We start from the raw sequence: 22572 nt of genomic DNA, 5'->3' as shown, positions 1-22572 counted from the left end.
TTGAACTGCAGAGGTTGCAGTGAGCCAAGATCGTGCCACCGCACTCCAGCTTCGGGGACAGAGTGAAAGTCCATCTCAAAAAAAAAAAAAAAAAAAAAAAAAGTTTCCCAGGGAGGCAGTGAGGAATTAGAAAGCCATCGTAATCCATCATAGTTAGTCTTCAAAATGAAACTTGATTGGCCGAAATCAGACACTCAGCCTGTCTGAATGCTCTGATACTATGGACTTGACAAGTCAGGTCTTCCCCGAGTTCCAGCACTTCAGTTCCCCACGAGGAGGCCCAGAGACTAATAAAGCCCAAATAGTTAAAATCTCCAGAATCAGCAAATCCACACAGAAGACCTTACATCATCCGGCTCTGCGGGCTTCAGCTTCAGTGGCCGGTGTGGAGCGCTTTTCAATTGTCTCCATTCAGTTCCTCAAGTGGATCTCGTATGCCGAATGAGATCTTTATCATTTGTCACAGGGGTGATGCATGCTGGGCCTGCTACCGTGGAGTCAGTCCTGGCTGCATAAAGACATCAGCAGCTCGACAAGGCTCTCTCAGCCCCTGCCCTGTGCTGCTGTCTGGGCTGAGGATGCCAGAGCTCCCATGTCATTCACCTGTCCTGGAATGGGGCTGCCTCTTTTCTCATTTTAGCTACGCCCCTCCCAGTGTCAAAGTCAGAACCTCAGAGAAGCGATTTGGTCAGACTGGGTTCATCACAATTCAGCAAGTGGTTATTGATAGGTAGTGGACAGATCCGTGGGTCTGGGGGCTGGTCTCAGCTCTGCCACTTGCTGCCAAGTGCCCTCGGGCACATCGTTAGAGCTCTCCAATAGAAATGGAAATGAGAAAACCTCCCAGGATTCTTGAGAGGATGAAATGAACTAGAGAAAGCAGAGACCTAGGCAAGTCCATGACCGGTTCAGAATAGCATGTCCTGTCTCTAGCAAAATCCACACTATTAAGACATTTGACACAGGCCAGGCATGGTGGCTCACACCTGTAATCACAACAATTTGGGAAGCTGAGGTGGGAGGATGGTTTGAAGCAAGGAGTTCAGAACCAGCCTGGGCAATATAGCAAGACCCATTCTCTACCAAAAAAAAAAAAAATACAAAAAATAAAATTAGCTGGGTGTGGTGGCTCAAGCCTGTAATCCCAGCCCTTTGGGAGGCTGAGGTGGGAGGATGGTTTGAAGCAAGGAGTTCAAGACAAGCCTGGGCAACATAGCAAGAACCCATCTCTACAAAAAATTACAAAAAAATAAAATTAGCTGGGCATGGTGGTGAACACCTGTATTCCTGGCTACTTGGGAGGCTGAAACAGGAGGATCACTTGATCCCAGGAGTTTGAGGCTGCAGTGAGCTATGATCATGCTACTGCACTCCAGCTTGGGTGAAAAAGTGAGACCCTCTTTTGAAAAACAAACAAACAAAAAAAGACTTGTGACATAATATAGCAGTATTGATAAAAATACTTATGGACACAACAATTTGAATGTATGAAAAACCACTTGAACTATACACTTAAAATGGTTAAAATGTAAATTTTATGAGGTATTTTATACCTTTTATTTATTAAGAGACAGTCCCTCTATATTGCCCAGGCTAAACTCAAAGTCTTGAGCTCAAGCTATATTTCTGCCTCAGCCTCCTGAGTAGCTGGGACAATAGTTATGTGCCATCTTGCCTGGCATACACCATGATTTTTAAAAAGAACAATCACTTACTGAACAGTTATTACTTATGATTTTTGTTTTTGTTTTTGTTTTTTTTGAGACATGGTCTCACTCTGTCACCTAGGCTGGAGTGCAGTGGTGCGATCTTGGCTCACTGCGACCTCTGCTTCCTGGGTTCAAGCAATCCTCCTGCCTCAGCCTCCTAAACGGCTGGGAGTACAGGCACCCAACACCACATCTGGCTAATTTTTGTATTTTTGGTAAAGATAGGGTTTTGCCATGTTGGCCAGGCTGGTCTTGAATTCCTGACCTCAAGTGATCCACCTACCTTGGCCTCCCAAAATGCTGGAATTACAGGTGTCAGCCACCATGCCTGGCCCAATTATTACTTTTTTTTTTTTTTTTGATGGCGTCTTGCTCTGTCACCCAGGATGGAGTCTGGTGGTGTGATCTCGACTCACTGCAACCTCCACTTCCCAGGTTCAAGTAATTCTCCTGCCTCAGCCTCCCTAGTAGCTGGGACTACAGGCGTGCGCCATCACGCCCGGCAAATTTTTTGTATTTTTAGTAGAGACAGGGTTTCACCATGTTGGCCAGGCTGGTCTTGAACTCCGGAGCTCAGGCAATCCACCGACCTCAGCCTCCCAAAGTGCTGGGATTACAGGCATGAGCCACCGCACCTGGCCCAATTATTACTTTTAAATGGCAAAAACCGCAATTACTTTTGCACCAACCTAATACTCTGTGCTAGGTGTTTCACCTGTATTTAATCCTCCAAGAACTCCATCAGGTGGAAGACATTATGTCCAATTTAAAGATGAGGAAATGATTCCCAAGCAGCCACCCAAACTGGCAAGCAGCAGAGTTGGGGTTCAAACTATGTCCATCCGACTCCTAAATCCACACTTTAACCTTGACATTTTAATGTCTTTTTTGCCAAAAGGTGGTATTGTTGGGTTCCTATTCAGTCCATCAGAGAAGCAGCTCCATTCATACATGCAGTCATCTGACTTCAGTGAGTACCTGATCGGTGCCAGGGACTACGTTAGCTTCGAAGGAGACAAAGATGAATGACACCCTAAGGGTACTCCTATCATAGGCTAAGGCAGCAAACAGGCAGGGGAATAAACACAATAATGAGTCCTTTAGGAGCCGAGAGAGTTGTAAACAGAGAACCAGGAGGAGGGAAGTCTTCACAAAGAAAGGAACATCTGAGTTGAATTTTGTTTTATGTTGTTTTTTGTTTCGAGACAGAGTCTCCCTCTATCATCCAGGTTGAGTGCAGTGGCGTGATCTTGGCTCACTGCAACCTCCCTGGTTCAAGCAATTCTCCTGCTTCAGCCTCCTGAACAGCTGGGACTACAGGTAAGCATCACCACGCCCAGCTAATATTTTTTATTTTTAGTAGAGACGAGGTTTCACCATGTTGGCTAGGCTGGTCTCGAACTCCTGGCCTTAAGTGATCTGCCCACCTCGGCCTCCCAAAGTGCTGGGATTACAAGTGTGAGCCACCACGCTTGGCCTCTGTGCTGAATTTTGCAGTGTGCAGACGACTTTTTCCAGGAAGCAGAAGAGAAGATGGCATTGGCAAGGGCATAGTAGCTGAAGGTGTGTGGCTAGCATGTCACCAGAGCACACACGGGCTCAGAGAAAGCAACTGAAGAATTTGCTGGAAAGATAGCCAGGGACCAACAATGTAAGCAAAGAAGGCTGGACGGTATCTTGTAAGCATTGAGAGGACTCCAGGATTTGGGAGCCAGAGGAATGACCAGAATATATTTGTAGAGCAATGAGGGAAAAGGTTCCACTTCACTTCTTTATTTTTTTGGTAAAAATAGTATAACTGAAACAACTCAAGTGTTCATCAATAGATGAATAGATACATAAAATGTGGTATATCCACATTGGATATTCTGCAATGGAATGTTATTCAGCCATAAAAAAAATGAAGTATGAGACATTCTACAACCTGGATGATCCTTGAAAACATCTGGATAAGTGAAAGAAGCCAGTCATGGTAGACCGTATATTGTATGATTTCACTTATACGAAATGCCCAGAGTAGGCGAAGCGTGGAGACTGGAAGTAATTAGTGGTTGCATGGGCTGGATAGGAGGGTAGGGGAGTGGGAGTTTCGGCTAATGGGTATACGGTTTTTTTGGGGGGTGATAAAAATGTTCTGAAATTAGGGCCCTGTGCACAACGTTGAGAATATATTAAAAACCACTGCATTGTATGCTTTAAAAGAGGGTGACCTTTATAGTGGATGAATTACATCTCAATAAAACTGTTATTAAAAGACAACGGTAACCATATTAAGTAAAAGTTTGAAAAATACCAGTCACCCATACTCCTATGCTTCCCAACAAATTAACTATTTTCCATTTCCTGCTTTGTCCCTGCATGAATATATTTTATAAGTACAATATCAGAGGGTATCATTTTTCTACTCTTTTTTTAACTTCAAATTTCATCACAAACAATTGTCCACATTCCTGTGAGGGCTCCATAATTGTTTGCAGATCTGCGTTTTAGGAAGATGAATGAATCCATTCAACAATTATTTTTTGAGCACCTGCCAGGAGCCAGGAACTGGGCAAGTCCCAGTTCTTGGGGAAGTTATTTTCTGGTGGGGGAGAAAGACAACAAATGAGACAATAAATGAGCAAGATAATTCCAGGCTGAGTGTGGTGGCTAATACATGTAATCCTAGCACTGTAGGAGGCCAAGGAGGGAGGATCGGTTGAGGCCAGAAGTTGGAGACCAGCCTGGGCAACATGGTGCGATCCCATCTCTAAACTTTATTTATTTATTTATTTATATTTGAGACAGAGTCTCGCTCTGTTGCCTAGGCTGGGGTGCACTACAACCTCCACCTCCTGGGCTCAAGCAATTCTTCTGCCTCAGCCTCCAGAGTAGCTGGGGCTACAGGCATGTACCACGATGCCTGGCTAATTTGTATATTTTTAAGCTTTTTTTTTTTTTTTTTTTTTTTTTGAGATGCAGTCTCACTCCATCACCAGGCTGGAGTGCAGTGGCATGATCTCGGCTCACTGCAACCTCTGCTTCCTGGGTTCGAGCAATTCTCCTGTCTCAGGCTCCTGATTAACTGGGACTACAGCCATGCGCCACCACGCCCAGCTAATTTTTGTGTGTATTTTTAGTAGAGACAGGGTTTCACCATGTTGGCCAGGCTGATCTCGAACTCCTGGCCTGAAGTGGTTTGCCCGCCCCAGTCTCCCAAGGTGCTGGGATTACAGGCATGAGCCACTGAGTCCAGCCTTACATTTATTTATTTATTTAAAGAAAGGTAGTGAGGAGTATGACCTGAACAAAAATCCGCAGGGAAATGAGACAGAGAGTCACTATAAAGACTCAAGGCATGGAGAGAATGTTAGGAAAGTGGTCAGGGGTGGAGGTGACTCGAGCTGAGACTCACATGGCAAGAAGATGCCAACTATGCCAATATGTGAAGGGAGTTGTTCTAGGGAGACGATATGGCAAGTGGCAAAGGTCCTGTGGCTGCTACGAGCCTGGTGTGTTTTAGGAACAATAGGAATTTGGGTCACATAAGAAGGGCGGATTTGGGGAAGGAAGGAGAAATGTGGCTAAGGGGCCAGGTTGAATCACCCGAGGCTGCCATGAGCCACTGGCCAGCCAGCAGCAGGGACTCAGAAAGTCCCAGTTGTCATGGTCCAGCCCTTGCGTGGTTGTCAAAGGCACCTTCCGGCCTGTGCCTGGGCAAGAACCCAGAGATCCGGAACTCAGGGTTGGCCCAGGTCAGAGCCAGGGCCAGCCTCCTGCTTGGTGCTTAGCTTTTGTGGGACCCCCAGGTGATTTCCAGCACAGCCACAGGAGGCCACGCCCAGAGATATCTGGAGGCCTCCGGAGCCTGGCTACTGCGTAGGCAGGGCAGCAAGTGCCAACCTGACAGCTGAGGGCAGCCCAGCCGCGCCCTGCCGCCTCGCTGCCTGCACATCAAAGTGACAGCGTTCCTGGTGCATCCGCTTCCTCTGGCTCTGAACCCCGGGAGCTGGTGCCTTGTCCCCCAGTGCAGAGACTCTGCCATCCACCTCCCACCAGATGCTCCCACGCCTGGGCTTTGTAACTCCCTCCCTTCTCAAATCACCGGCTTACTTAGGAGACAGGCCAATCTGGGCCAGATCCCCTGTGAAACTCACAGCTCCCCTGATCTCTGCCTTGTAACATCATTTTTCAATTGAGTCTTTGGATTAATTACTTAATAGCTGTCTTCTTTTGATGGCAAGCCCCATGAAAGTAGGAACTATGGATCCATAGCATTTAGTATGGAATACAGTGCCATTCATCTAAATATAAGATAAGCCACATAGGTAGTTTATTTATTTTTAATTAAAAAAATTTTTTTTGAGACAAGACTCTCACTCTGTTGTCCAGGCTGGAGTGCAGTGGCGCAATCTTGGCTCACTGCAACCTCTGCCTCCTGTGTTCTAGTGATTCTTATGCCTCAGCCTCCAGAGTAGCCGGGATTGCAGGCACACACTACCAGGCCTGGTTAATTTTTGTATTGTTGGTAGAGATGGGGTTTTGCCATGTTGGCCAGGCCAGTCTCAAACTCCTGACCTCAAGAGATCTGCCCGCCTTGGCCTCCCAAAGTGCTAGTAGTTACAGGCATAATAATTTACAATTTTTTAAACAGCCACCTTAAAAAACAGAAAGAAACAGAAACAGAAAGGTACAGGCATGTGGTACCTCATGCCTGTAACCCCAGTGCTTTGGGAGGCTGAGGCGGGAGGATCGCTTGAGCCTACGAGTTCAAGGTTGCAGTGAGCTATGATCTCAACACCCCAGCCTGGGTGACACCCTGTCTCTTTAAAATAAAAAAAAAAAGTCAAAAGAAACAGATAAAACTAATTTACTAATTTTAGTAATATATTTTATTTAATCCAATATATCCAAAAACATTTTCATTTCCACGTGTGATCAATACAAAAATGTGAATGTGGTAGTTTACATTATTTTTTGCTCATACTAAGTCTTCAAAATCCAGTGTATATTTTATATTACAGCACATCTCAATTTGGGTCTAAATTTTCATTGGAAATATTTGATCTTTTTTTTTTTTTTTTCTGAGACAAGAATCTTGCCCTGTTGCCCAGGCTGGAGTGCAATAGCGCAATCTCGGCTCACTACAACCTCCGCCTCCTGGGTTCAAGCAATTCTTCTGCCTCAGCCTCCCAAGTAGCTGGGATTACAGGCATAAGCCACCGTGCCCGGCTGGAAATACTTGATCTTATTAGGTTTTATAAAATTTACAAGGAGGCTAAGTTATTCCAAACAGATGTCAAAGTTTTCCAACAGTTAAATGAATCAGTTTTTTAGTTTTAAATTTAAATTAAATAAAGTTGAATAAAATAAAAAATACAATTCCTCAGGCACATCAACTGTGTTTCAACTGTTCAACAGCCTATGTGGCAAGTGGCTACCACATTGGACTGCAAAGACAGAAGTGCTGCTATTTATGGAATGAATGAATGGATAAACCCCAGTTTCACCAAATACCAATTATATAGCTTGAGCCTTGGGGTGGTTTTAAATACCCACAAATTCTTTGCTACTCCTTTCTTCAAAAGAAGGAGCCTAACTCCTCTTCTCTTGAGCATGGGCCAGGCTTAATGACTCACTTCTAAGTAAAGGAATGTGGCTAGGTGACACTGTGTGACTTCCAAGGCAGGGTCACCCAGTGCCTTGTGGCTTCCTCCTTGGAGTCTTTTGGATCACTCATTCTGGGAGAAGCCAGCTGCCAGGGAATGCGGAGCCTTCGACAGCCCTGTGGGAATGTCCCTGTGGAGGAACTGAGGCCTCCAGCCAACAGCCATGTGAGTGCTTTAAGCCACTATATTTTTAGGTAGTTTGTTCTGCAGCAATAGGTGATTAAGTCAAGCCTTATCCATAAAATGGGGTGAAAAACCCTAAAAGGCTTTTGTGAGGTTGAGAGATCATATATATAGATCACTTAGCAGAGCTCCTGGCACACTAAATAATCAATGGCCACTATTACTATGCCCCCTTCTTTTCTTTTCTTTCTTTATTTTTTGAGATAGGGTCTTGCTCTGTCACACAGGCTGGAGTGCAGTGGTGCAAACATAGCTCACTGCAGCCTCAACCTCCCAGGCTCAAGTGATCCACCCACCTCAGCATCCTGAGTAGCTGGGACCACAGATGCACGCCACCACACCCAGCTAATTTTAAAATCTTTTGTAGAGACGGGGTCTTGCTATGTTGCCCAGGCTGGTCTTGAACCCCTGGGTTCAAGCAATCCACCTGTCTCGGCCTCCCAAAGTGCTGGGATTACAGGCATGAGCCACTGCAACCTCTCATTCATTCATTCATCAATTCACCCATTCATCTTAATGCTGACCAAGAGATACGTTGTATGCATCTCATTTGACTTAGGGAAAACAAAGTTAGAAATATAAATTTTATTTTCCAGGCTTCTCCTTTGTCTTCAGTTGTGCTAATCGCATTGGCTTATGGAGACCTACTCATCTATGTGTAGGTTCTAACTGGGACTGCTCTTTTCATCAAAACTTCCTGAATTAGTGGATGCATGAACTAGCAGGTCAATGGTTATTCATTGTGATGAACACGGTGATAAGCCACCTGGATCCGCCTTCAAGGAAGGACTTAGAGTTCAGCTGCTGGGAAGGTGGCTCACAGATGGCATACAGCTGTCAGCCCCCCTCAGGAATTGCCTCTGCTGTCTGCAGCCAGCTCGCACAGGCTGTACCCTTCCCAGTTCAGCCTGTATCCAGTGACTGACCCCTACAGGAATATAAAGACCTGGCCAATTTGGCCCATGGCAGGGACAACTCTGACAGGTCATCTATGCCCATGGGGCTGGCCAAGGTCTTGTGCCCACATCACAGTTCAACTTCTTAAAAATGGAAGAAGAAATATTACGGGGACGATTTGCACAAGCTAAAAATGCCACAAGCAAGAAATCACTTTTATTTTATTTTATTTTTCAACTCAACTTCATCTCCCTCATCTCACTGATGCCCAGTCCTGCTACCGCCTCCTCCTCCTTCTCCTGCTCCTCCTCCTCCTCCTTCTCTTCCTCCCTTTCACAATGTTGATCCCTTGGACCTCAAAGTCTGTCTCAGCTTCTGCTCCAGAGAACCTACCTACCCTAAAACACTGATTGAAAGGAGGCCTCCATTGGGTTTCTCCATCTCTGCACTATTGACTTTCTGGATGATTCTTTGTGATGGGGGCTGTCCTGTGCACTGTAGGATGCTGAGTAGCATCCCTCGCCTCTACCCATGAGGTGCCAGTAGGACCTGTCCCCCAGTGAGGGAGGATCTCCAGATGTTGTAATTGCACAGTCACCTGTAATTGAGAATCACTGGCTTAGAATAAAGGAAATGGGGAAACAGGGAAAAAGGATCAGTCACTAGTAAGGCACAGCCAGGTCTTGCTGAGAGTGGAAAGTATTTCAGGATTAGGCTGGGCGCGGTGGCTCACACCTGTAATCCCAGCACTTTGGAAGTCCTGTGCGGGCGAATCACCTGAGGTCAGGAGTTCAAGACTAGCCTGGCCAACATGGTGAAACCCTGTCTCTACTAAAAATACAAAAATTAGCCGAGTGGTGGCGCATGCCAATAATCCCAGCTACTCAGGAGGCTGAGACATGAGAATCGCTTGAACCCAGGAGGCAGAGGTTGCAGTGAGCCAAGATCACGCCACTCCACTCCAGCCTAGATGACAGACTGAGACTCTGTCTCAAAAAAAATAAAGAAAGTATTTCAGGATTTACCACTCTGCAGTGCCCACTGAAGTGTTCTGCAGATAAACTGCTCTAACTACTCTCTAGCTCTACTTCTTATTTTATTTTAATTTTTGTAGAGATGGGATCTCACTGTGTTGCCCAGGCTGGTCTTGAACTTCTGGCCTCAGGCCATCTCCCCACCTCAGCCTCCCAAAGTATTGAGATTACAGGCGTGAGCCACCACACCCAGTCTCTAGACTGTTGTCTACTGCTCCCCATTCCACCAGCCAATCTATGGGCCTGAGACTGTTGCTTTGGGCTTCCAAGGCCTCATGGCTTCTGCTGACTCATGGTTTCTACTGACTGATGACTTCTGCTGACTCATGGTTTCTACTGACTGATGACTTCTGCTGACTCATGTTTTCTGCTTCCCTGACTTTTCCCTCTGTTTGTCTTTCAGCGTTTGTCCAAGCTCCCAACTCGTCTATGTTCACATCCCATAGACTTAGCCTCCCCAGAAAGAGTGTCTAGCTGGCTCTTCCAGTCACTCTACGGTGGGAGCGGGCGACTCTGCCAGGCAGCACTCTCATCCAAGACCACTATGCTTGGGCCTGTTTGCTATGGGATCCGGGTGTTGAGGTCACAACGTCACCTTTCCTGGGAAGATGCCAAAGCACTGAGTATATAATAGCCTCACCTCAGTACAGTGATGTTGGTTGAGTCCACTAATGATCATAGGCCTTGGTTTCTTTGTCTGTTAAATGAGGATAAGAGAACTTGCACCATCCAACCAGGGAGCTATGTGCATCCAATGAGGTGACCCATAGAAAAGCTCTTTTTTTTTTTTTTTTTTTGAGACAGAGTCTTGCTCTCTCACACAGGCTGGAGTGCAGTGGCACGATCTTGGCTCACTGCAACCTCTGCCTCCCGGGTTCAAGCAATTCTCCTGCCTCAGCCTCCCAAGCAGCTGGGACTACAGGCATGTGCCACCACACCTGGCTAATTTTTGTATTTTTTGGTAGAGATGGGGTTTTGCCATATTGGCCAGGCTGGTCTCGAACTCCTGACCTCAAGTGATCGGCACTACCTCGGCCTCCCAAAGGGCTGGGATTACAGGCGTGAGCCACCACTCCCGGCTGAGAAGCTCTTTTCAACTTAAATGTCTCATTTAAATATCGGCTGGGCATGGTGGCTCACACCTGTAATTCCAGCCCTTTGAGAGGCTGAGACGGGTGGATCACTTGAGGTCAGGAGTTCGAGACCCACCTGGCCATCATGGCAAAACCCCATCTGTACTAAAAGTACAAAAAATTAGTCAGGCCTGGTGCCACGTGCCTGTAGTCCCAGCTACTCAGAAAGCTAAGGCAGGAGAATTGCTTGCACCTGCGAACCAGAGGTTGCAGTGAGCCAAGATTGCTCCACTGCACTCCAGCCTGGGTGACAGAGTGAGACTCTTTCTGAAAAACAAATAAATAAATATTATTGCTGTGGTGAAACAACTTCCTGTGTATATGAAGTAGAAAAATACAATCATAGTAATGGTAATCAGGGCTGTCCTATTCCAAGTCTTCACAAAGACTCAGCACACTGGGGCCCTTCTAAACATCAGTGAGATGAGGGAGATGAAGTTGAGTTGAAAAAAAATAAAATAAAAGTGATTTCTTGCTTGTGGCATTTTTAGCTTGCGCATATCGTCCCTGTAATATTTCTTCTTCCTTTTTTGTTAATGGCTTGGGGGTTTGAACACTGTTTTGTTCAGCCGCACTGGGAAATGTTTAATGAATCCTTGTGAATATTCATTAAATGCTGTTAATATTTTCTGGTGGGGGAGGCCCCGCTGCCCATCCAGCGGGTCTCCGAACGGTGGTGGCAGGGGAAACAGCCCACCATTTGATTTGTGCTATTTGTTTTCCATTTCAGTTGCCCTATTTCCTGAGACCTCGGGAGGTTTGCAGGGGCCAAGGGTGGAGGCAGAGCTCGCTTCCTTTCCTTCTCTCCCTAGACTGAGGAAGGAGTTTAGAGAGTGGGGGTGTGAAGTTGAAGATGCATAAACGCTACAGCCCAGCAACCACCCTTCTTCCTATGTATCTTCAAGAAACCCTCCTGCGTGCGCAAAGAGATGCGCAGGGAATGTTCACAGTACCACTGCTTGGAATAGCAGCAAAGTGAGAAATGATACCGATGCCCATTAATGGGAGAATGGATAGATGTATAATGGTCATACTAACGGATTGCTATACGGTAGTGAAAATGGACTATCAAGCCTCTGTGTTAACACAGTTGGTATGGTTTGGCTGTGGTCCCGCCCAAATTTCATCTTGAATTGTAGCTCCCATAATCCCCACGTGTCATGGGAGGGACCTGGTGGGAGGTAATTGAATCATGGGGGTGGGTCTTTCCCGTGCTGTTCTCATGATAGTGAATAAGTCTCATGAGATCTGATGGTTTTATAAAGGGTAGTTCCCCTACTTATGTTCTCTTCTCTGCTACCGTGTAAGACGTGCCTTTGCTTCTAGTTCACCTTTTGCCATGATTCCTCAGCCATGTGGAACTGTGAGTCCATTAAACCTCTTTTTCTTTATAAATTACCCAGTCTCGGGTATGTCTGTATTAGCAGTGTGAGAACAGATGAATACTGTGGTTGAATCTGTTTTTATTGAGATAGAATGTATATGTCATAAAATTGACTTTTAAAAGTGTACAATGCTGTGGTTTTTAGTGTAGTCACAAAGTTGTGCAACCATCGCCATGATCTAATTCCAGAATATTATCACCATCCCCCAAATAAACCTTGTACTCACTGAGCAGTCACTCTCCAATCCTCCCTACCCCCAGCCCCAGGCAACCCCTAATCTACTTTCTGTCTCTATGGATTTGCCCTATTCTGAATATTTCACATAAATGGAATTGTATACTATGTGGTCTTTTGGGCCTGGCTTTGTTCACTTAGCACAATTCCAAGGTTCATCCTTGTTGTAGCATGTTTCAGTACTTCGTTCCATTTTCCGACCAAATAATATTCCACTGTATGGATAAGCCACATTTTATCCACTTATCAACTGACGGACATGTGAGTTGTTTCCGCTTTTTAAAACTATTATAAATAACACTCTGGCATCCAGCAGGGTATTTAAAGAAAACAAAAAATATAAATAACACTGCTGGGAACATTCACGTACAGGCTTTTATATATGGACATATGTTTTATTTCTCTCAGGTATATACCTAGGAGTGGATGGGTCATACAGCAATTCTGTGTTACTTTTTGAGAAACTGCCAGACTGTTTTCTGAAGCAGCTGCACCATTTTACCTTCCCATCAGCAATGTATGAGATTTCCATTTTTCCATCTCCTTGCATGGTTGAAGCTTACATACATAGTGTAGAGAAAAAAAAATCAAGTGTCAGAAGAATACGTTCAGTATGCCCTCATTTCCACAAAGCTTAGAAACATGCAAAATGATACCAGATATTGCACAGGTCTATACCAGGCACAGTTAAAGAAAGTAGTGGGGCCAGGCACGGTGGCTCATGCCTGTAATCCCAGCACTTTGGCAGGCCGATCATTTGAGCTCAGGAGTTTGAGACCAGCCTGGCCAACATGGAGAAACCATGTCTCTACTAAAAAAAATACAAAAAATTAACTGGGTGTAGTGGTGGGTGCCTGTAATCCCAGCTACTCAGGAGACTGAGGCGGGAGAATCGCTTGAACCCAGGAGGCAGTGGTTGCAGTAAGCTGAGATCGCACCACTGCCCTCCAGCCTGGGTGACAGAGAGAGGTGCTGTCTCAAAAAAAAAAAAAAAAAAAAAACTTGTGGGAATGAAAAACATCCAAATATGGGTCGTGGTTCCCACTGCGGGTGAGAAGAACAATATGATCAGAGTATATGAAGATCTAGAGTTTCCATCACATGGGTATTATTTTATTTCTTAAGCGAGGTGGTGGGTCAAAGGAGTTTTAAAATTATTCTTTATCCCTTTTTGTGTATTTTTGGTATTTCCTAATGGATGATTACATCTAAGTTTATTTTTAGGTAGGGCATGTTTATACAGGCATATATACCTTTAAGCAGACTTATTCTGCAAGAATCTTTTGGAACTGGATGATTTCTCAGTTGAAAAGTCTTCTGAGGATTATAGGGTCTGTTGTAATCTCCTGAGCACACAATTTTTCCCTGCCCGGCCTGGCAGTGATGTGTGATGTAAAGACTATCGGCTTTGGGGATCTCTGTAAATAAAGAGGGCACAGCTGAAAGTAGCTATGGTGGTTTTAAATCCAAAAATTCATTGATACAGCTCCCTTTGTTTTATTTTTTGAGAGAGTCTCACTCTATTGCCCAGGCAGTGGTGCAATCATAGCTCACCGCAGCCTTGAACTCCTGGACTTAAGGGGTCCTCCTACCTCAGCCTCCTGAGTAGCTGGGACTACAGGTGCATGCCACCCCACTTGGCTAATTTTTTTAATGTATTTGCAGAGATGGGATCTCACTATATTGCCCAGACTGGTCTAGAACTCCTGGGCTCAAGAGATCCTCCTACCTCAGCATGGGACTGAGGACTACAGGTACGTAGCTGGAACTATAGGTGCCTGCCACCATGCCTGGCTAATTTTTATATTTTTCGTAGAAGCAGAGTCTCACTGTGTTGTCCAGACTTGTCCCAAACTCCTGGGCTCAAGTGATCCTCCCCCTGTGACCTCCTAAAGTGCTGGGATTAGAGGTGTGAGCCACCACACTAGGCCAATGTGCTTCCCTTTAAAAGGTGGAGCTTAATTTATCTCCCCTTGAGCTATGTGACTTGCTTCTAACAAACAGAATAAGATAGAAGAGACAGTGTGTGATTTCAGAGACTAGGTCATATAGAGCATGTAGCCTCTTCCTTTCTCTCACTTTTGAATCACTTTCATTCTGGAAAAAGCCAGCTGCCATGTTGTAAGGACACTCAAGCTGCTCTATGGAGAGGTCCACATGGTGAGGAACTGAGGCCTCTGGCCAACAGCCACGTGAGTGTGCCATCTTGGGAAAGGATCTGCCAGCCCCAGTCAAGCCTTCAGATACCTGCCACCCTGCCCAGCATCTTGACTGCAACCTCATGAAAGACCTTGAGCCAGAACCTTCCAGGTAAGCTGCTTCTTGATTCCTGGTTCCTGGAAACTGTGTACGATATAAATGTTTGTTGTTAGGAAGCTGTTAAGTTTGGGGGTAATTTGTTACATAGCAGTAGATAATTTAAGCAATAAGAGACCTGTGATCTCAACTGACAAGTTTCTTGAGGGAGGATATTCCAGGGTGGTTAATTCAGGGACACACTGATGTCATCAAGGCTCCATGTTCTTTCCATCTCCCTACTCTACCTTGAGCGTATTGGCTTTTGCCTTCATGCTTGTCACTTCATGATCTCAAGGTGGCTGCCACAGCTCCAGACACCACATCCTCATATAGCTGCATTGAGAGGTGAGAGGTAGAAGAAAAACACCTTTCCCACAAACCCCTCAGTAGACTTCCCGTATGTCTCATTGATCCAGGGGCATCATCTACTCTGCCCAAACCAGGCGCTACCAAGGGCAGTGAAATTGCTTTGATTGACTTGGCCTAAGGACATGTACCTGTGGTGGCCATGGAGCTGCACCGCTCAGATCTCCCTTCAAGAGAACCTGCTGTGGGGAGGGTAGGTATCTGACAGCCTATGGGTGCTGCACCATTGGATCTGCTTCATGCAGAGACTCTGCTCTCCCCAGACTGCTCCCAGACAGGAACTGTATAGTGCGGGTTCTAGAGCTGGCACTTCTTTTTCTTCTTCTTCTTCTTTTTTTTTTTTTTTTTGAGACAGAGTCTCACTCTGTCACTCAGGCTGGAGTGCAGTGGCATGATCTTGGCTCACTGCAACCTCTGCCTCCCGGGTTCAAGCAATTTTCCTGTCTCAGCCTCCCGAGTAGCTGAGGCTACAGGCATGTGCCAATATGCCTGGCTAATTTTCGTATTTTCAGTAGAGACGGGGTTTCACCATGTTGGCCAGGCTGGTTGCAAACTCCTGGCCTCAAGTGATTCACCCGCCTTGGCCTCCCAAAGTGCTGGGGTTAAAGGCGTGAGCCACCATGCCTAGAACTGGGCACTTCTGCCCAGTGTGGGACTCTAACTCCCCATCAGCCTGGCTGAGACTTTCTCAGAGCTGGGCTGCAGCCTGAACCTCTTCCAACCCAGTCCTCCTTCCTTCCCCCTCTCTTTTCCCAGGTGTCAGACCCACATCACACCCTAAAGATTTTCCCTGACCACTCCTGCTCTCTTTCTCTTATCCTTCACAGGCATCTCAGTAAATTTCTTGCACGTCTATTGTCCTCTTGGAATCTCATTCCCAGAACACTCACATTCACATGTTCCTCTGGGAGTAGGGATAAGTCTCATTCTCTATACATGGGATGGTGTATACCCAAATAAAATCAGGGGGCAGGGGTAGAGAAGAATGGCTGTTCTGTTTTTTTTTGTTTTGTTTTTTTTTTTGAGACGGAGTCTTGCTCTGTCACCCAGGCTGGAGTGCAGTGGTGCAATCTCGGCTCAATTCAAGCTCTGCCTCCCAGGTTCACACCATTCTCCTGCCTCAGCCTCCCGAGTATCTGGGACTACAGGCACGCACCACCACATCCAGCTAATTCTCTGTATTTGCCTCAGCCTCCCGAGTATCTGGGACTACAGGCACGCACCACCACATCCAGCTAATTCTCTGTATTTGCCTCAGCCTCCCGAGTATCTGGGACTACAGGCACGCACCACCACATCCAGCTAATTCTCTGTATTTGCCTCAGCCTCCTGAGTAGCTGGGACTACAGGCACGCACCACCACATCCAGCTAATTCTTTGTATTTGCCTCAGCCTCCCGAGTAGCTGGGACTACAGGCGCCCGCCAACACACCCAGCTAATTTTTTGTATTTTTAGTACAGATGGGGTTTCACCGTGTTAGCCAGGATGGTCTCAATCTCCTGACCTCATAATCCACCCACCTCGGCCTCCCAAAGTGCTGGGATTACAGGCGTGAGCCACCGCGCCTGGCCAGGAATGGCTGTTCTATAGATAACCTTCAGGGCACGTTCAATGCCTGATGGGCCTCAGCACTAAGCCCTGCTCCACCCCAGACCATTGGTGGCACCTGGAGAGTTACTGACCTCTCTGACCTCAGCCTTCTCCTCTTAAAGCTAAAACCTAGAATTGTGGTGAGATTCACTGGAAAGGGCATGTGTAAAATTCCTAGCACATAATCATAACAAGGACTGGCTGGGCACTGTGGCTCACCCTTGTAATCTCAGAGCTTTGGGAGGCCGAGATGGGAAGATCACTTGAACCCAGGAGTTGAAGACCAGCCTGTGCAATATAGCAAGACCCCCATCTCTATAAAAATTTTTTTAAAAATTAGCTGGGTTTGACAGTGCATGCCTATAGTCCCAGCTACTTGGGAGGCCAAGGTGAGAGGATGACTTGAGCCCAGGAGTTTAAGGTTGCAGTGAGCCATCGTTGCACAACTGCACTCCAGCCTGGATGAACAGCGAGATCCCATCTCAAATAACAATACTAATGATAATAATAAGGACTGCCATCTGAGTGATTCCTAATTTAAGTCACTTTACCTTGTGTAGCTCACTGAATCATCACCGTGGCCCTTTTGGGAGTGAGTGCTATTGCCTTTTTTTTTTTGAGATGGACTCCCTTTGTCGCCCAGACTGGAGTGCAGTGGCGCAATCTTGGCTCACTGCAAGCTCCGCTTCCTGGGTTCACGCCATTCTCCTGCCTCAGCCTCCCAAGTAGCTAGGACTACTGGCACCCGCCACCACGCCTGGCTAATTTTTTTTGTATTTTTAGTAGAGACGGGGTTTCACCGTGTTAGCCAGGATGGTCTCGATCTCCTGACCTCATGATCTGCCCGCCTCGGCCTCCCAAAGTGCTGGGATTACAGGCGTGAGCCACCGCGCCTGGCTTATTGCCTCTTTTTACCAAAACTGTGGCTCAGAGAGGTTAAGCAGTTTGCTAAAGTCCCACAGTGAGTAAGCGACTACGGAATAGGGATGATCCAATTATAATCCTAGCGTAGAATGATGTTGGGGCATTGGGCTATGCTGTGAACTGTAGGTGCTTGATAAATGCTGTAAAATGAGCCGCAAAAGCCCTACCCTAAAACAGAGCTGTGAAGTTCAATTTATTTAATTTATTTAACGAAAGGATCCTTTTATTACAAGAGCAGTTCAGCATGATGATTGCTAGCACTTATTAAGCACTTGCTGTGTGCCAGGCGCTTTAAATAAATTGAACTTCACGGCCATGTTTTAGGGTAGGTCTTTTGCAGTTCATTTTACAGCCCAGGAAACAGATGCACAGAGAGTAAGGGATGAAGCTGGGGCTCCAGCCAAGCAGTTTGACCTCTGAGTTGACACATAACCGTGGACTGTCTCCTGGAAAGAACCAGTGCTTCCAAAGAAAACAAAAACAAAATAAAACAATAAAAACAAGTATGGGTCTGGTTGGAATTCGAACTCTACCTCTTAGTTCTTGTGACCTTGGGCAAGTTACTTAATATTCCCCAGCCTCAGTTTCCCCAACTCTTAAGCTGGCGATCAATAACACCTACCTCAAACACAATTTTTGTGGTCAATGCTTCTGCTTGTGCAAGATTTAAATGAAAAAAAAAATCTTGAAAGCTAGGACAGTGCCTGTTACACACATAGGCTCTTAATTAATTATCACGGGATTCCTGGCGTTGTTGACATTTATCTCTGATTTTTGTCTTTACAGGAATCATAAATCCGGTTCTGATTATCGCCACACACACAGATCCTTCTCAAAGATTCAGAGTCTTATTCTTTTATCTCTTCCCTAAAATACGATCTAATTTACAAAACTTTGACTTACAACTCCGCCAGAAGCCCAGCTGGCGTGTGAAGTGATGCACTCTGCAGCCGGCAGCACTGAAAAGCACCGGCCTCCCGGGAACCCAGCAAGGACCGTGATCTTCAGTTATTTTGTGCAATAAAGAAATTTTGTAAAACGAGTAACACCAGATCGTGTATCTGTTGGGACAACCCAGATTTTCCTGCTTAAAGCAGACCCCACCCCGCCCCCCCTCCCCCGGCTTCCAATTCCCATGGGGAAGCCAACGGAATACAAAGTGCATTGCTACACCTGTGCAACTGATGACTTCTCACAGTTCAATTTTCCAGTACTCCTTAAAGCCACAGGGCTGTGGCCTTCGCTCCTCACTCAGTTTCCCCATCTGTAAAATGGGAATGAATATTTGTGCCATACGATCTTCTATGCCTTGCAAGATAAATGTACCCAGGCACGGGGAAAAGACTCAGCTCAGTAAACATTTGTAGAATCTGAATTGATTTAAGCATTCAGGTCACTCAGCCAGCACTGGCTGAGCAATTGCCATAGATCCAAAAGAAATATCAGACATGATCATTGCCATTCAGGAGAGTTCCTGTCCACTTTATCAAGGCACTTTATCACATAGAGCAGTATTTCTTAAGGCTCAGTTAAACTCGTGCCTTCTCTGTGTATAACCATTAACCATTTCATGTTCTGTTATTTGAAATCTCGAAATAAATAAAACATGACCAGGAATAAAAGAAAGCAATAAAAACAGCAAATACTCCAAGAGAAATGAAAATATATGCCCACATAAAGACTTGTAGCTGAATGCTATAGCAGCATTATTCATAATAGCCAAAAAGTGGACAAAACCCAAATGTCCATGAATATTTGAATGTATAAACACAATGTGATATATCTGCACAGTGGAATGTTATTTGGCCATAGAAGGAAGTACTGACACTAGCTACAGCATGAATGAACCTCAAAAACATTATGTTAAATGAAAGAAATTGGTCAGAAAAGACTACATATGGTAAGATGCCATTCATGCGAGAGTCCAGAGTTGAGAAATCTATAGCAGGGGTCTCCAAACCCCCAGCCATGGACTGGTATTGGTGGCCCGTTAGGAACGAGGCTGCACAGCAGGAGGTGAGCAGCGGGCAAGTGAATGAAGCTTCATCTGTATTTACAGCATGTCTCAGGACTCACAGGCTTTTTTTTTTTTTTAAATTGAGGCAGGGTCTTGTGCTGTCACCCAGGCTAGAGAGCAGTGGCACAATCATGGCTCACTGTAAACTTGAACTCCTGGGCTCAAGTGATCCTCCTGCCTCAGCCTCCTGACTAGCTAGCACTACAGGCACACACCACCATGCTCAGCATTTTTTTTTTTTTAATTTTTTTTAATTTTTGTAGAGACAAGGTCTTGGTGTGTTGCCCAGGCTGGTCTTGAGCTCACAGCCTCAAGAGATCCTCCTGTCTCAGCCTCCCGAAGTGCTAGGATTACAGGCGTGAGCCACCGCACCCCACGTACTTTAGTTTTTTGGAATGAGTCAACCAGTGGCCTAACCTGGGGTGGAGAATCCTCAGGGGTCCATTTCCAGAGCCTCCTGTCTTCAGAATTAAGCAAAAGGATTCAGCTCAGCCTAAACAACTCCATCTGGATCCTCAGCACAAATAAATTCTACCCGCTCCCGCAGAAGTTGGTCCCTGTGAGAACCCTTCCTGCAAGAACCCGTCTTGCAGGGCCAGCAGTGGAGAAAAGTCCCGCTCAGTGCTGGGGCGCAGGACCAGAGAGGAGCTTTCACCTGCGGGAGGGCTGGGTCTGAGTCGGCTTCCCCAGCCCCATCCCTAGCCTCTCTCTGCAGGAGGATATTGACCAAGTGGAAGGGATTCGAAGAAGAGCAGGACACATGAATGGGGGCCTGCAGGAGTGGGGGTGAAGGGATGGGGGACCCCGCGGAGACTAAGGGGAGGCTCGGGGAACATCAGCACCCACAGGCCAGGTGTCCCTCGGGCTGCCTGGCTTCCTCCGCAGCTCGCTGAAGCTGCTTGAATAACCGTGCTAATCTGCGCGCATCCCAATGGGAGCCCGTCAGTTCCATCTCTAATCAGGTCGCTACTCTCATTTAGAGGGTTTAATGTACCATCCTTCATAGTGGGACACGCCACTCCGACCCATGGGCTGCTAAGAGGAGCTGCTTTTCCCTCCCCTCCGCTCTTTTTCCTCTGCATCCACCCGCTCAAGAGTCTCACCTGGACATTTGGAGGGCGGTGCTGACCTCCTCCGAGACGTCGTCACCTACAGCGCCACCGCGCTGGTCCTAAGGTACAGGTCTGCCCTGCCCCAAACCCTTCAAGTCTTCAGGCCGGCCCCAAGCTACAGCTCAAGGCTCACTTTGACCTTGCGTGGCCCTGTCTCCATAGCTCATTTCCGGCATCGTCCTTTCTGGCGTCCCATAAGGTGCCCAGCATAGGACGTTTGACGGATCTCCAGCACTGCAGCTTCTCAGCCTCGGCACTGCTGACGTTTGGGGCTGGCTCATTCTTTGCAGTGGGGAGGGTGCCCTGTGCATTGCAGCGTGTCGAGCAGCATCCCCGGCCTCCACCCACTAAGTGCCAGTAGCATCTCCCTCCCCACATTGTTTTTTTGGTGGGGGTCAGGGGGTGGGATGGAGTCTCACTCTGTCGCCCAGGCTGGAGTGCAGGGGCTCTAACTCAGCTCACTGCAACCTCCCCCTCCCAGGTTCAAGCAATTCCTTCTGCCTCAGCCTCCCAAGTAGCTGGGACTGCAGGCACATGCCACCATGCCCAGCTATTTTTTTATTATTATTATTTTTAGTAGAGACAGGGTTTTGCCATGTTGGCCAGGCTGGTCTTGAACTCCTGACCTCAGGTGATCCATCCTTCTCAGCTTCCCAAAGTGCTGGGATTACAGGTGTGAGCCACCGTGCCTTGCCCCCTCCTCACATCGTAACAAAAAAATCCAGACATTGCCGCATGTCCCTTGGGGGCCAAATCACCCTCAGGTGAGAACCACTGCTCAGTGGAAGGTAGAAGTGTGCAAGAGTCAGGCCCCTCACTCTCAAGCCGGACAGACCTAGGTCCAGTTGCTAGCCTTTACCCTAACAGCTACCCATCCTTGGCCAAGTTGCGTTAAATGAGGATAAACTGGTGCCTGCCTTATAGGACAGGGTGACTGCCACACAAGAAGATCCAAGACAAATAGCTCTGTGGCCAGCACATAAACAATGCCCAGGATGATGCACTGTTTTGTTCTTTTGTTCCATCTTCCTGGTATCCCCTTTCTCCCTCCTTTCCTGGCCGGTGAGCTTTTTTTTTTTTTTTTCTTTTTTCTGGGCGTGGGGGCGGAGGGTGGGATGGAGTCTCACTCTGTCGGCCAGGCTGGCGTGCAGTGACCCGATCTCAGCTCACTGCAACCTCTGCCTCCTGGGTTCAAGCGATTCTCCTGCCTCAGCCTCCCAAGTAGCTGGGATTACAGGAGTGCACCATCATGCCCAGCTCATTTTTGTGCTTTTAGTAGAGATAGGGTTTCACCATGTTGACCAGGCTGGTCTCAAACTCCTGACCTTAAGTGATCCACCCACCACAAGTGATTCAAGGTGCTGGGATTACAAGCGTGAGCCACCCAGCCCGGCCATCTGGCCAGCGAACCTCTGTTTGTTTCTCAGGATTCAGCTTGCACATCATCTCCTCAGGAAGCTTCTCTCCACCTGTCCCAGCTCCTGGCCATGTCTCCTCTACCATTGCACTTCCCATGCTGTACTGAACTTGTGTGTTGGAGGGTCTGTCTCCTGCACCTGCCTGTGAGCCCAGAGGCAGTAGTCTTCAACGCATTCTATTCTAGATTCCAGAGCCTACATTCAAGCTCAGCCCCTGTTCAGGGTGGCAAGAGGAAGGCAGGAAGTGTGCCAGTGTAGACATGCTCTGATCTGATCTGCAGAGACAGAAAGCCATTGTGTCTGCCCTAGGTTAGGTGGGGCAGGAGGATGTAGTTACCACAAAGAGACCCAGAAGCTCATCAGCACAGAGAGAACATAATCCAAATCCTTGACCTTGTCAGTTCAAAGCTGTGATGAGGCAGACACAGTAAACTATTCCTGGCCTTGAACTCAATCTCTCTGGCCAACAGAGTCTCAGTTTTCCCATCTGTGTAATGGTGACAATACATAGTCACCTCCTGGAGTTTATTTAAGGATGGAATGGGGTGATACAGTTTGCCCATGATAAAGACACGCATCGGACAGCAAACATGCAAACCTAGAGAGAAGAAGGATTCAAAGAG

The 22572-nt window shown here is 46.8% G+C and overlaps 1 long non-coding RNA gene across 2 annotated transcripts, besides 3 other annotated features; it reads left to right on the top strand.

Annotated features, from left to right (window-relative positions):
* Positions 4938-5491: an enhancer, noted in NCBI's record as "H3K4me1 hESC enhancer chr12:116935156-116935709 (GRCh37/hg19 assembly coordinates)". NCBI's record gives its function as "activates a minimal SCP1, AML or CMV promoter by ChIP-STARR-seq in naive H9 embryonic stem cells {active_cell/tissue: H9 hESC(naive)}" and the evidence as "EXISTENCE:reporter gene assay evidence [ECO:0000049][PMID:30033119]".
* Positions 5492-6046: an enhancer, noted in NCBI's record as "H3K4me1 hESC enhancer chr12:116934601-116935155 (GRCh37/hg19 assembly coordinates)". NCBI's record gives its function as "activates a minimal SCP1, AML or CMV promoter by ChIP-STARR-seq in naive H9 embryonic stem cells {active_cell/tissue: H9 hESC(naive)}" and the evidence as "EXISTENCE:reporter gene assay evidence [ECO:0000049][PMID:30033119]".
* LOC105370007 (uncharacterized) lies at positions 11891-18444 on the top strand. 2 transcript variants are annotated; one of them, XR_945394.3, is made up of 3 exons: positions 11891-14533; positions 14938-15080; positions 18189-18444. It is a non-coding gene; the product is annotated as an uncharacterized LOC105370007 (long non-coding RNA). The 2 variants fall into 2 exon arrangements; XR_007063472.1 differs by lacking the exon at positions 14938-15080 and having other exon boundaries at positions 13833-14533.
* Positions 20747-21247: an enhancer, noted in NCBI's record as "H3K4me1 hESC enhancer chr12:116919400-116919900 (GRCh37/hg19 assembly coordinates)". NCBI's record gives its function as "activates a minimal SCP1, AML or CMV promoter by ChIP-STARR-seq in naive H9 embryonic stem cells {active_cell/tissue: H9 hESC(naive)}" and the evidence as "EXISTENCE:reporter gene assay evidence [ECO:0000049][PMID:30033119]".

Source organism: Homo sapiens, chromosome 12 (genome assembly GCF_000001405.40).
Source record: "Homo sapiens chromosome 12, GRCh38.p14 Primary Assembly".
Lineage (NCBI taxonomy): Eukaryota > Metazoa > Chordata > Mammalia > Primates > Hominidae > Homo > Homo sapiens.
This window is presented reverse-complemented; position numbering and strand designations above follow the sequence as displayed.